This window comes from Homo sapiens, chromosome 17, assembly GCF_000001405.40.
Source record: "Homo sapiens chromosome 17, GRCh38.p14 Primary Assembly".
In the NCBI taxonomy this organism is placed as follows: Eukaryota; Metazoa; Chordata; class Mammalia; order Primates; family Hominidae; genus Homo; species Homo sapiens.
This window is the reverse complement of record NC_000017.11, coordinates 4,081,694-4,095,980: the sequence shown is the minus strand read 5'-3', so window position 1 is coordinate 4,095,980 and position 14,287 is coordinate 4,081,694. Positions and strand designations below refer to the sequence as shown.

The following is a 14,287-nucleotide window of genomic DNA, read 5'->3' as shown; positions in this document are numbered from 1 at the left end:
GGTTCGACGTGGTGGCATTGGTGCCCAGTGTGGGTTGGTGTTTGCCTATAACTCATCTTCAGATAAATTTTGTGCGGAAGAACACTTCAAAAGGTTTGAAAAATATGACAAATGGAAGCTTCAGGAGCTCAGGCAATTTGTAAAAAGCAGGTAAGAAGGTAAAAAATCTTTGTAGAACAAAGATCTACAGAACAAAAATCTTTGTAGTTAATAAGAATGTATTCATGCTCATTGGTGAACTGTGCTTGCTTGTCTTTATAGAAAAGGCGCCACTAATCCATCTCAGTGGCCATAAGCCTTCATTGCTTTCTAGTAGCATATCTGAAGATGTGTATGTTAATTTGTTCATAGCATGTTACTCAGTCCCTTTTGTGGCCAGGGGCACACATCTTCACAATGGCTGGGTAATGATCTATCTATGCCTGAATTGTGGACAGCCTGCAGTCTTTAGCCATTGCCCCAACCCCCCTTCTCCCATTCCTGCTTTTAACACAAATACTTATTAAGTACCTACTGTGTGCCAGGCCTGATGCTAGGTGCTGAAGATACCGTAATGAGGAAATTGGCACAGTTCTTGCTTTATATAGCTTACTGTTTAGCTCAGAAGACAGGTAAGAAAACTTGCAGTATCAACAGTGTTATGAATGTGCTGTAGGGGAGAAAGGGCGCTGTGGGGACACAGGGCAGAGCGGCCCTCCTGATCAGAGACATCTTTCTGGAGCAAGTGTTGTTATGCTGTTTATGAAGGATGAGTTGGAGTTGATCGGCCACTGGAAGGAGAATGTCCTAAGCAGAGAGGGCAGCTTCATGGGCCCAGAGGTGAAGCATGGCACATTGAAGGAACGGGCAGGTCCCGCATTGCTGAGGGATACTCGGAGGGAGGGTGATGAGAGATGCAGCTGGAGAGCTGGGAAAGGGCAGGGCATTCAGGGCTTTGTCTCTGTTTCTGTATCCTTAAAGCATCATGTGAGGGGAAATGGCAGGGGAATGTGTTGAGGCATTTCCAGAAAAGCAGGGGGCTCAAATGCATGTTGTAGAAGCACTGGTCAGGATCATGTTGTGTGTAGTATGGACTGGAGGAGAGCAAGTCTGGAGGCAGCTGGGCTGGGAGGAGGTTGTCACTTATTGCCTAGGAAGCCAGTGGGTGACTCCTACTAGAGCAGCAGCAGCAGTGCAGAGATGTGGACCAAGAGACCACTAGGAGGGAGAAGCGACAGGACCTGGTGATTGACTGAATGTGGAGCAGGAGAGGGAAAAAAGCCTCATCGGCAGTGAATCCTGGCTTTTGGCTTGAGCAGGTGGGGAAATTGGTAGTGCCTTTCTTACTCTGGGGAAAAACAGGTTTGTGGGGAAGATGATGAGCTCAGATTTTGTTCTGTTGAATTTGAAGTTCTGAGAAACCTTTGAGGTGTTCGGTAGCCAATGGATAATCGGTAGCCAATGGATAAACAGGTCAGGAGCCAGGAAGAGAAGTTTGTGCTGAAGGTACAGATATGAGAGGCATTTAAACGATAATTTAAAATGTAGAAATAGGCCAAGTGTGGTGGCTCATGCATGTAATCCCAGCATTTTGGTAGGCCAAGATAGGTGGATTTTGAGCCCAGGGGATTGAGACCAGCCTGAGCAACATAGTGAGACCCCCATCTCTAAAAAAAAAAGAAAAACATAAAAATTAGCTGGCCATGGTATCACGCGCCTGTAGTCCCAGCTACTTGGAAGACTGAGGCGGGAGGATCCCTTGAGCCCCGGAGGTTGAGGCTGCAGTGAACTGTCTTCACGCCACTGCACTCCTGCCTGGGTGACAGAGTGAGATCCTGCCTCAAAAATAAATAAATAAAATGTAGAAGTGGAAGAGATCATTCTGCAAGAGTGTGTGAACTGGGAAGAGAAGAGAACTTAGGTCAACATGAGACACACCAGGCTTTAAGGGGCAACAAGGAAAACTCAGCCAGACAAGCAGCAGGAAAGCCAGGGCCTCATGAAGGAAAGCTGTGTCCCATGAAGCCAAGGGAAAATAATGTTTGAGGGAATGGGCGATGGTGTCAGATGTTACCCAGAAGTCAGAAGGTAAAGTCTAAAAGTGGATCTGTCGGATGTAGCCACTGGTGCCCCCTTGGATAAGGTTACCTCCCCTATTGCTACTAGTGAGTTAAAATTGAAGAAGCTAAGACAAGAAAAAAAAATACTCAAGGAGCTGAAACCCTGAACTTGCCTGCATTATTTCATGGGTAGTGGATTGCTGGTGTTAATAGAAGCCTTTCAGTACCATCCACTGCAGTACTCCTTGAGCTTTAGTGTGCATACACATCAGCCAGGGAATTTGTGAAAATGCACATTCTGATTCAGGAGCTCTGGGTGGGGTCTGAGACTGATTTCTTACAGGCTCTCGGGAGATTCTGATGCTACCTGTCTGTGGACCATACTTGAAATCGTAAGGATCTAGAATAATTCGAATAATTCGCTCTTCTTGCTGCAATTCCTTTAGCAGCATTCCTGGCAAAGGTTCGGTCAGCCTCTCTACAATACCGTTGATGGAAAACTCACCACGTATCAGGCACTTCAGTAATCAGAATTTGTTCAGTTGAAATCCACATTTGTAATGTCTCTTCAGTGGTCTTCGTTTCAGCCCTTTAATGAATTTGAACAAATGTCTTTCACTCCTAAAATCTCCCTTCCGTTACACGTGTATGCCTTTTTAAACACTGCTTTTCTTTTAAAGTAATAACTAGAGATGACACTGGGTTTTAGGCAGCTATGTCCTACTCTTGGGACAAATTAAAATGGGTCATTTCCCCTAAACCTGCTGTTAAACAAGGTCTTTTACATCTTATACAGGATGATTTTTTTTTAACCTAAATAGAGGCCTATTCACCACTCCCTTAATGATTTTAGCTCCTGATTCCAGCCTGAATGACTCTTAAATCGTGATTTTGTTGGCCTACATATTCACCAGTCCCTCTCCAGTTTGGAAATCAAAATATTAATGTGCATGCATTTTCTTTTTGCCTTTTTTTTTTTTTTGGTCATGTCCTCCTGGTCAGGCGTTCGTCAGTCAGCATGCTCCAGGGTCAGCAGTTGGTGCTGTGCCTACGTCAGAGGACTAGGATTCATCTGTCTTCCATCTTGCCTACTATGTAGTGCAGTGTAGGGAACAAGATTGCTTCTCTCTGTTCTCTGATACCCTGCCAGCTTTCTGTATCTCGAAGATTTCCTTGACAACTCCCAAAGAGTAGATTAAAAAATCTTTAAGCTTATGATATTGATGAAACTCATTGACATGGTTTTGGCTTAAGAGAATACCGTTTCCCATTAGGGTTAACTGTGTCATGAAAGGTTTATGCCAAGAAAGACTTATGTTAAGAAGGGACATTTTGCCGGGCACAGTGGCTCACACCTGTAATCCTAGCGCACTTTGGAAGGCCGAGGCGGGTGGATCACTTGAGGTCAGGACTTGAGGTCAGAAACCAGCCTGGCCAAGATGGTGAAACCCCATCTATACTAAAAATACAAAAAAATTAGCCAGGTGTGGTGGCAGGCACCTGTAATCCCAGCTGCTTGGGAAGCTGAGGCAGGTGAATCTTTTGAACCTGGGAGGTGGAGGTTGCAGTGAGCCAAGATTGTGCCACTGCATTGCAGCCTGGGCGACAGAGCAAGACTCCATCTCAAAAAAAAAAAAAAAAAGGGACATGTTTTCTCTCTGTTACAGAACCTACTCGGGATTGTCTTCTTGCCATAATTCCCTCTTTTTGGTAGTTTTACCTATATAAAATACTAATGTGTCGCCAGCTTGGTGGCTATATATCACAGACTGAATAGTGTAAAGTTTTAGGAATGTTACTTGAAAAAACTGCTCTTTTTCTCCTTCTTATTTATTTATATTATTTTTATTATTTTTTTTTTTTTTGAGGTGGAGTTTCGCTCTTGTTGCCCAGGCTGGAGTGCAGTGGCACGATCTTGGCTCACCGCAACCTCCGCCTCCTGGGTTCAAGCAATTCCCCTGCCTGAGCCTCCCGAGTAGCTGGGATTACAGGCATGCACCACCACGCCTGGCTAATTTTGTATTTTTAGTAGAGACAGAGTTTCTTAATGTTGGTCAGGCTGGTCTCGAATTCCTGACCTCAGGTGCTCTGCCTGCCTCAGCCTCCCAAAGTGCTGGGATTACAGGTGTGAGCCACCGTGCCCGGCCTTATTTTTATATTTTTTTGAGATGGAGCCTTGCTCTGTCACCCAGGCTGGAGTGCAATGGCGTGATCTCAGTTCACTGCAACCTCCACCTCTTGGGTTCAAGTGATTCCCCTGCCTCAGCCTCCTGAGTAGCTGAGATTACAGGTGTGCACCACCACGCCTGGCTAATTTTTTGTATGTTTAGTAGAGACAGGGTTCGCCATGTTTACCAGGCTGGTCTCAAACTCCTGACCTCAAGTGATCCATCCACCTCAACCTCCTAAAGTGCTTATAGGTGTGAGCCATCGTGCCCAGCACATCTTAGTTACTTAATTCCTGAAAAGGGAGTAGCATTTAAGTGTTCAGCTTTTAAAAAGAAGTGGCATACATTCTCTTAAAAAGAAGAGAAGACATCTCTTCAGCCTCAAGGCTGGAATGTTTTTCTGAAAGAACTTCTTAAGAAACAGACAAGAATACTGAGGCCTACGAAGGCTGGGGTTTTTGTTTTTTTGGACCTCCAGGATCTGAAAGCCCTCAGATGTTTACCCATCAGCTATTGCAAGTGGCCCAAACCTCAGGTTGGTCATAAACATGTTAGCCAGACCTAGGGAAAGAAAACCAAGCCTGCCTCTTTTCTGGCACTTTCCAGAAGCACATGCCAGCTGTTGCATTGGACCTTACTCCTGAGTCATCCACAATGCCCGACTTTCTGTCTCATTCTTCAGATGAGCCAATTAGAGAAGCAAACTTTCTCCTTAGTTCCCAGATTATATTTCCCAGTTCATAGAGAAGGAGACTGAGCAATGGAAAGGCAATACTACCAACTGTCTCATGTGCTCACAGGGTACCATGTACCATAGTCAGCTCTCGATTGTTCACTGACAGGCTACAGATACAAGTTACATGTCACTTAGATGATACCTTATTTGTTAGACCCTTGAGAAGTTTCAAAATAAAATGTTTTGTGAATACTCTTGTCTTTACAGGATTGGTTGCTCATCTGATGACCTTGGAGAGGATGATCCTATTGGCTGGTTTGAACTGGAAGAAGAATGGGATGAAGCAGATGTGAAGCTGCAACAGTGCAGAGTTGCCAAAGTAAGCATTAGTGCGTCGTTTGCCCACTCCCCTCCTTTTATTCTGTGTTTTTTGAGTAGTGATTGTGTATCAGCCCTGTGCCAATGCTACAACCCCAGAGGCGAATCTACCTTCAGGGAGTTCATACTCTGTGGGAGAGACAGATGTGTAAGACAGTGTGATACGAGCTGTGATAAAAGGAGAGACAGAGAGCTGTTGGCAACCAGGGGAAAAATATGTAACTCGAAAGCTTCTCAGGAAGGGTGGTGTGATGTCAAATGTTGAAGATTAAGTTGTCATCCTTAGCCAGGCTACAGTGTGTGGAGGAGGGCGTCTCAGGCTGAGAGAATAGTTGAGAACACAGCATCCTTAGCCAGGCTACAGTGTGTGGAGGAGGGCACCTCAGGCTGAGAGAATAGTGAGAACACAGCATCCTTAGCCAGGCTACAGTGTGTGGAGGAGGGCGCCTCAGGCTGAGAGAATAGTGAGAACACAGCATCCTTAGCCAGGCTGCAGTGTGTGGAGGAGGGCGTCTCAGGCTGAGAGAATAGTTGAGAACACAGCATCCTTAGCCAGGCTACAGTGTGTGGAGGAGGGCGTCTCAGGCTGACAGAATAGTTGAGAACACAGCATCCTTAGCCAGGCTGCAGTGTGTGGAGGAGGGCGTCTCAGGCTGAGAGAATAGTTGAGAACACAGCATCCTTAGCCAGGCTGCAGTGTGTGGAGGAGGGCGTCTCAGGCTGAGAGAATAGTTGAGAACACAGCATCCTTAGCCAGGCTGCAGTGTGTGGAGGAGGGCGTCTCAGGCTGAGAGAATAGTTGAGAACACAGCATCCTTAGCCAGGCTGCAGTGTGTGGAGGAGGGCGTCTCAGGCTGAGAGAATAGTTGAGAACACAGCATCCTTAGCCAGGCTGCAGTGTGTGGAGGAGGGCGTCTCAGGCTGAGAGAATAGTTGAGAACACAGCATCCTTAGCCAGGCTACAGTGTGTGGAGGAGGGCGCCTCAGGCTGAGAGAATAGTGAGAACACAGCATCCTTAGCCAGGCTACAGTGTGTGGAGGAGGGCGCCTCAGGCTGAGAGAATAGTGAGAACACAGCATCCTTAGCCATGCTACAGTGTGTGGAGGAGGGCACCTCAGGCTGAGAGAATAGTGAGAACACAGGCATCAACTCAAGAGAGGTGTCTTTCCATAGAAAGGACCAATCATTATTTGGCTGCTTAATTTTTTGCTAAACCTTGGATGTAAATCTCAGGCTTAAATAAGTAATTAGGAACTCTCTTAAGGGCACGTAATAGTAGGTGCTCGGTAAATATTTACGCAGTTGAGTAGTGTATTCTGAAAGGCCCTTAACAAAGAGCGCTCACCATAAGAAGCAGGTAGTTTGCATGAAAGTTGGGTTTGGAAAATGGCCCTAGATTTGAGTAGACAGGACTGTTTTCCTGGGTTTCTAGCTTAGGGGTTGCCTATATCACTTGGGGGCTTTGAGGTGGAGGGCATTGACTGTTTTCGTCTTATATCTGATTTCTGTTTCAAAATGACTGCCACAGAGCAAATGTACTTTTCTTCATCCTCTATTCTGGTTTTTGCCTCCAAGAGGGAGTAATGATGCAATTTTCCTTACTGTAATCTACCCAAACCTGACTTTATTCAACATTTGTATTGTCTTTTTTTTCTCTGTACTGTAAATGCTGGACTTATATTTTGTGTCCCTAGTGCTGAGCATAATGTTTCCTAATAAATTACGAAAATCATAGGAAGACCTTCCCGGAAAGGCCTTTTTCCCTCTTTAATCAATATTCAGGGATTCTGAGTTCTTCTATTGAAATCTCTCTTGTCCTGTCCAGTATTTGATGGTGAAGTTCCTCTGCACCCGTCAGGAGTCAGCAGAGCGCTTGGGAGTGCAAGGCTTGACCATCAGTGGGTACCTCCGGCCTGCAAGAGCAGAAGCAGAACAGAGCGTCACCTGTGCACACTGCAGAAAGGACACAGAGGAGAGTGTCTGTGGGGCCACGTTGCTCCTCAGGACCCTTCAGTTTATCCAGCAGCTCGCCCATGACCTGGTAGGGCTTCCTCAGTTGTTAGACGGCATTCCTTTAGGAAAAGTGAATGACAGTATTCAGAGAAATGAACACCAACTGATAAAACCTGCCCCTGCGGAAGCCAATAGGATGGGCATTGTACTGCTGCAGGGACATGAAAAGCTGAGGAAAGTGAGCTGTTGGGCATTCATGGCATGAGTCAGGGAAGTGGCCTGTGAGTCAGTGAGTGGCCTGTGGCCATCATTGTGGCTTCTCCCGGAGTAGACCTACAGACACATCTTCAAGAGCCCTGGCCGTGGCTGCCATGGGGAAACAAACAGAACAGAGTTCATGGGATTTGCATCTTCTTTAAGTCCTAGAAGAATTATAACTGAGGTCTAGGTGAATTTTCATTATTTACTGAAAATACGAAAATAATGGCAGGATTTCGAATCAAAAATGATTTTTTGATTTCTAACTTTTTTGATACTGACTCTTACAGTCAGTAATATAACACAGTGACAACTCACTCAAAGGAAGATTCTTACAGCCATCACCATAGCCTCGGGAGTTCAGTGGGTGGAGCCCTCGCATGTGTAGTGTATAGCAGTGTCCACTCTTGATCCCCATTCTGCTTCAGGGCACATTCAGAGGCTGGTGACTCAGTTCATATAAGGTTTGTTTGGTCTTCGTTATTCAGACCTCCTATCACAGTAGAAAAGAGCAAATAAGAAGGAGAAGCCTGGAAATAACAGGCATGCTTACGGAAGGATTGATACCTTTCAGTCCATGCACGGGGAAGGCGTCAGTATATTGTAGTACAGTCCTGGACAGTGATCATCCAGGAAAGACTGGCTTATGTGCTGGGTTAGGAAGTCAGGAGCGTTCATGGATGTGTGTGTGTGTGTGTGTGTGTGTGTGTGTGTGTGTGTGTGTTGTGTGTATATATCTATATACACTTACATACATACATACATATAACACACACATATATTTTAGAAAGTTTCAAACCAAAAATAGTTGTTGGCAAACCTTTTTGTAGTTAAGAGTAAGCATCAGTAATATGAAAGTCTCACTCATGTAGAGCCACCTCATCCCTTTACAATTAGAAGTAAATGAGGCATTACAGTATTTCTCTAAATGCATTTTTCAGTTTTATTTATTCTGATCTTTATAATTTTTTAGGTGCAGCAGAAGGAAAGTGGCTTAAAATATAAATCTTTTCTGGACTTCGCGGGTCTTGATTTGCAGATCTTCTGGAATTTTTACAGTAAATTAAAGCAAAAGTAGGTCAGAATTTGTTATAAGGTGATAAGCACATAAACTGAAAACAATGAGTTTTACTATTCTAAGTGGATTTTTTTCCTAATTTTTTTTTTACTTCCTACCAGTGTTTATGGTTCGATTTAAAATATATGGTTATTATTGAAAATAACACCTCAGATTTCTATAAAATATTTAGGCAGTAGTAAGCAGGTCAAGGATTACAGTACTGTCCTCATTTTACAGATGAAAAAGTAGGATCAGAAATGAACTTCCTGCCTGGGCGCGGTGGCTCACGCCTGTAATCCCAGCACTTTGGGAGGCTGAGGCGGGTGGATCACAAGGTCAGGAGTTCGAGACCAGCCTGGCCAATATGGTGAAACCCCGTCTCTACTAAAAATACAAAAATTAGCTGGGTGTGGTGGTGGGCACCTGTAATCTCAGCTACTTGGGAGGCTGAGGCGGAAGAATTGCTTGAACCTGGGAGGCTGAGATGCAGTGAGCTGAGATCACACCACTGCACTCCAGCCTGGGAGACAGAGTGAGACTCGGTCTCAACAACAACAACAAAAAGAAATGAACTTCCTTCCCCACAGTGGGCAGAGTCAGATGGGATCTGTTTCCAGACATTTAGTACAGTGTTCTTTCTGGTCCACCCTTCTTCCTCTCAGTTTGCATCAGTTGGCATTATTTTCATCGAGCCTGATGCCTAGAGGAAAGTCCTTTGTAGACAGCTATATGGCTTTGGAGAGTAAATGCAACTTGCCCTTTTGCTCTCTGATGTTTTTTGTCTTTCTGTAGCCCGAGGGAAGAATGCGTCTCTGCCCAAACCCTGCTTCTGCAGCTACTCCAGAGCTGCTTCTCTGTGCTGCAGGGAGATGTACTGGCTGCTTCTGAGGAGGAAAAGGCTCCAATCCAAAGCCCTAAAGGAGTAGAGGCTGCCAAGGAGCTGTACACACACTTGTGTGATGGTAGGGATTTGGGTTTTCTCTTTAATACAACCCTGTGTAGGTAGCGTGAAGGGCCTCTTGCTATAGAGAAGAGGGCTGTCCTACGATGATGCGAGCCAGAAAGGGATTGCCGCTGTGGGAATCCCCCAGAAAGGGATTGCCGCTGTGGGAATCCCCCAGAAAGGGATTGCCGCTGTGGGAATCCCCCAGAAAGGGATTGCCGCTGTGGGAAACGAGTGTTTCCCCTGATGCTCTTTTGAGCTACTAGTTTGAGTTCAGGATTTATTCCTTCCTCAGCTGACTTCTCTTCCTCCTGGTTTCAGATCTATAGCTGTGTTATGTTGAGAGTCATTACTATCATACTGTTGAGCCTTAACTTCAACTAAGTCACTCAGATGAGGCTGATAGATTGAGGGGGAGTGAAACACGTGGGCTTCTGAAGTTTTATTTAAGGCTTTGCCAAGTTGTGTCTCAAAAGGACAGGGAAGTAATGACATAAAAACTGATACATACGGTCTTTGTTTTAGTTAAATGAAAGCAAATAAAAAATATTTTTTTATACTGCCTGGCCTGTACAGAAATACTTCTTCACTCTGGTATTAAGTACAAAATGGAGAGTAGTGAATTTATAGGCTAGTTATAGCAGATGTATAAGCGAATAGATGGAATATATGAAAGCTGATGCCATTGTTCATTTTATCAGTGGTGGACAAGGTGGATGGAGACTCTGTGCCCATGGAGATACTAAAACAAGAAGTCAGGAATACCCTTCTCAATGGGGCTGCCATCTTCTTTCCTAATCGACAGACCCGACGGAACCATCTCTTCACCATGATGGTAATTATTACTAAAAGTCTGGATTCAATGTCTGAAGTCTGTGAGGATGAAATTTGCTAGGCTTTGTTACCTCTGAATATATCGTCTGTTGCAACGTCCCAGATGTGTATTAATATTATATGCAGAGCTTTGTGTGGGACAGATATCTAAGGACATGGCACTCCACTCAGAGTGGGATGACACGTATTCCCAATCTGTGTTTCATGATCGGATGTCTCACAAAGTGACAGTGTAGTCTCCTTCATCTTTGTGACTTGCCTACAACCATCCTTTCTTTTCCACATTTTACCTTTGTATTATAGGCAAATTCAAAACAAATACCAAAGCTAACTAAATAGTATAGTGAATGCCCCTGTCCCCCAAATGTACCTGTCACCTAGCTTCAACAGTCATAAATTCACGCTAATCTTGTTTTACCTACAGTGTACCTCACCCCCCTTTCCTCCTTTCCCCACTGACCATTATTATTTCAAGGTAACTTCCTGACATTTGATTCATAAATATTTCAGTATATATCTGTAAAACTAATACCACCAAGTTTTTTTGTTTGTTTGTTTTTAGATAGGTTCTTGTTCTGTTGCCCAGGCTGGAGTGCAGTGGTGCAATCACAACTCACTGCATTCTCTATCTCCCAGGCTCAAGCAATCCTCCCACCTCAGCCTCCCAAGTAGCTGGGACTACTGGTGCATGCCACCACGCCTGGCTAATTTTTGTATTTTTTGTAGAGATGAGTTTTGCCATATTGCCCAGGCTGGTCTCGAAGCCCAAGGCTCAAGTGATTGGCCCACCTCAGCCTCCCAAAGTGCTGGGATTACAGGCGTGAGCCACTTGCCAGGCCAGTATCACCAAGTTTTATTCCTTAAATGGTTCTTGTCACTCTCCTAGACCACTTCTTCGTGTTCCTCAGACATTAGTAGCTGGGGTGAAAAATGCTTTTAGTATCTATAAGCACTGTGTTACCAAATGGAATATTCTATACAAAGATCCAGGTTTTTATTTCTGAAGGAAGTATTTCTGTATGAAAATGAGTATGATACATGAAAAAATGTAAAACAAAACAAAACTTTTTCTCTCTAGGCCATATCAAAAACACCTAGGTAGAGGAACTTCACAGGTTCCTGTGTTACAATGATGGTAAAACACAGGGAAGTGTAAGTATACCAAGGGGACAAATTAGAGAAATGTGTACAAGACAGCAAAATTATAGGCCACTCTTACTTATGAACATAGTTAGAAGAACCCTAATGAAATATTAATTAACCAGTGCAACAACATATAAACAAAATTATGGCCAAGTTGGATTTATGCTGGAAATCCAGTGATGGTTCAGCAGTAGAAAATATGTAAATGGAATCAGAGAGGAAAAAAAAAAATCACTAAATGCAGAAAATATTTTAATAAGATTAAATTCTGATGATTAAAACAATGAAACAATATGTTTTCATTAGCAAACTCAAAATAGAAACTCCTTCAATCTGGTAGAGGGCATGTATCGAAAACCCACAATAAGCAATGTATTTGATGGATCACTAGAAGCATTCCTCTCAAAATGCGGAATAAGACAAGGATGCTTACTGTCGTTGCTTCTCTTTGATGTTGCATTGGAGGGCCTAGCTAGTGCTGTAGGACAAGGGAAAGAAGTGTTAAAAATAATAGAATAAAACAAATATTTATTTGTTTTGATATGATTATAGATTACTTTTTATTGTCTGTGTAGTCAAGCAACTAATAGAATTATTTAAAAGAATTTGACAAAGGAAACTAGATACAGCATTTTAAAAAGGCGTTTCTAATGCAACAGCCAATGAGCAGACATAAGAAAAGTGGTCTATGGGATGCACAAAGGCCTATAGAAATAAGGGAGGGAAGCCGGGCGTGGTGGCACATGCCTGTAGTCCCAGCTACTCGGGAGGTCGAAGCAGGAGAATTGCTTGAACCCGAGAGGCAGAGGTTGTGGTGAGCGGAGATCACGCCACTGCACTTCACCCTGGGCAACAGAGCGAGATTCCGTCTCAAAAAAAAAAAAAAAAAAGGAACAAAAGCATAAAATGTGGTCCCTGATGACAAAGGGCAGCAGCAGCAGTCTAATTGGGGACACCTGCCGCAAGGAAAAACTTATTCCATATGCAAGAGGAGAATCATGTTGAGGCTAAGTGATTGAGGAAGGTTTCAGAGAAGAGGAAGGATATTTGTTTGTGTAATTCCAGCTATATATAAAATTTGCATATCAGCCTGAGGAATCACTTCTCACATTGTGAGTTACATAACCTTTGACAGCATCAGCTGACCTGAGCCACTGGACTGTGGGTGGGTCTCTATCCTACTTGTTTGGTGCAAGTGTTTACCAGGTAGCTGAGCAAATGATTAATTTCCAAGCATGTGTCCTACACAGAAAGTAGAAACAGGACGCATGACGTTTTGAATGACATTGGTGTCTTCTCATGCTGAGAAGTTAAATAGCACTGCCAACCTTCTGTATAGTGCTGAGCGATTCTCTCTCCATCAGGTGCCTCCTCAGTATCTTCGGATACCATACCCTTAAGAGCTGTGATTGCTCTTGAGATGGCTTGTCCAATGGCAAAAAGTATATTATCAGCTGGGTGCGGTGGCTCACGCCTGTAATCCCAGCACTTTGGGAGGCAGAGGTGGGTGGATCACCTGAGGTCAGGAGTTCAAGAGCAGCCTGGCCAACATGGTGAAACCCCGTCTCTACTAAAAATACAAAAATTAGCCAGGCGTGGTAGTGGGCTCCTGTAATCCTAGATGCTTGGGAGGCTGAGGCAGGAGAATTGCTTGAACGCGGAAGGCAGAAGTTGTAGTGAGCTGAGATCGCGCCATTGCACTCCAGCCCAGGCAACAAGAGCGAAATTCCGTCTCAAAAAAAAAGTATATCTCTTTATGAGGTCATTTCCCTAAGCAGGAAACTTGAACCTTCTGTTGACTTTGGCAGTGAACCAAGTGCACCTACCACCTTGTATTTAGATGGTTGGTTCTGCTCCATCTTAGTACTTGAGCGGGTTTTAGTGGGGTGCTGTGAGGTAGTCTGCTGGCCTGGCATTCCTCATACTTGAGAACAGTGGGGTGGTGATGTTTCATTGCCGCTCTAGGTCTCTGGAATGTCATGGACTAGATTTTCTGAATATACAATTTCTGGTTTTCTAGAAGAATGTCACCGAGCAGGAGCACAAGCAGTCCCTGCAGCTCACTTTCCGTTCACTGTGCACGTATTTTAGGTAAGCTGATCGTTCTTTTTAATTGTCGGATAACTCAAATCTTTGCAAAGTTGTTTTCTTGAGCTTGCCCTTCCTTTCATGTGCCTTCGAAGTAGTACTTCCTGCCACTCAGTTAGAAAGCCGAGTTTCTGTGGGTGACCCAAATAGTGGTAAAATAATAATCTTGTTGACAGCCCAATCCAGTTCCCATCCATTTTAAGACAATTTCAGATTGAGCCCGTTGAGGGTCTTTTTGAACACTTCAGTTTCCAAGTAATGTTTAACAACAAAAACTGAAGCCAAAGGAATGTAGGGTCTTGTATTCGTGTCACGTTAAAACCAGCTACAGAAGCCCAGAATGATAGTTTGTGGAAGGAAGTGTGCTGGGAGGGGAGGTCTTCGAGATTTTTGCCTGTTTCAACTACCAGAGAAGCTAAATGGGCCTACAGGCTTCATTACTAGAAGTATTGACTCTTGAAGGAGGAAGGGAACTAATATCCTTAGCGACTGCCTGCAAGTCAGACTATACCTGGTATGGATGCCAGACTTAGAGGGCTGTCTGTTTAAAATGTGCTCAGAATCAAGTAGCAAGGATGCTGAAAGGGCCTGGGGCCGTCCTGTGAAGACATGTGAAGACACAAGGAACGTTTAGCCAGGACTTTGAAGCTAGCAGTCGTGAGATGAGGTGTATTTCATATTGGTGGCCAAGGTGATTTATTCATCAGCCTTCTACCTCAGGGTCTCATCCAGGACTGGAGGATTTG

General features: G+C 44.2%; 1 protein-coding gene across 8 annotated transcripts in view, besides 1 other annotated feature; it reads left to right on the top strand.

Annotated features, from left to right (window-relative positions):
* The window catches only part of ZZEF1 (zinc finger ZZ-type and EF-hand domain containing 1), a 138,586-nt gene that overhangs the window by 47,050 nt on the left and 77,249 nt on the right, over positions 1-14,287 (top strand). For 6 of the 8 annotated variants that reach the window (XR_007065288.1, XM_005256561.3, XM_017024382.2 and 3 more), the window contains exons 11-17: positions 2-150; positions 5,151-5,262; positions 7,088-7,303; positions 8,447-8,547; positions 9,326-9,495; positions 10,178-10,311; positions 13,474-13,544. Coding sequence is in view for 7 of the 8 variants with exons in the window: in XM_005256561.3 (XP_005256618.1) it covers positions 2-150; positions 5,151-5,262; positions 7,088-7,303; positions 8,447-8,547; positions 9,326-9,495; positions 10,178-10,311; positions 13,474-13,544 (953 nt within the window). In the remaining variant the exon portion in view is untranslated. The remainder of the gene's footprint in view (position 1; positions 151-5,150; positions 5,263-7,087; positions 7,304-8,446; positions 8,548-9,325; positions 9,496-10,177; positions 10,312-13,473; positions 13,545-14,287) is intronic. The other 2 variants (NM_015113.4, XM_017024383.2) reach the window with 1 other exon arrangement.
* Positions 9,495-9,774: an enhancer, noted in NCBI's record as "active region_11532". NCBI's record gives its function as "activates an Ori minimal core promoter by ATAC-STARR-seq in GM12878 lymphoblastoid cells {active_cell/tissue: GM12878}" and the evidence as "EXISTENCE:reporter gene assay evidence [ECO:0000049][PMID:35858748]".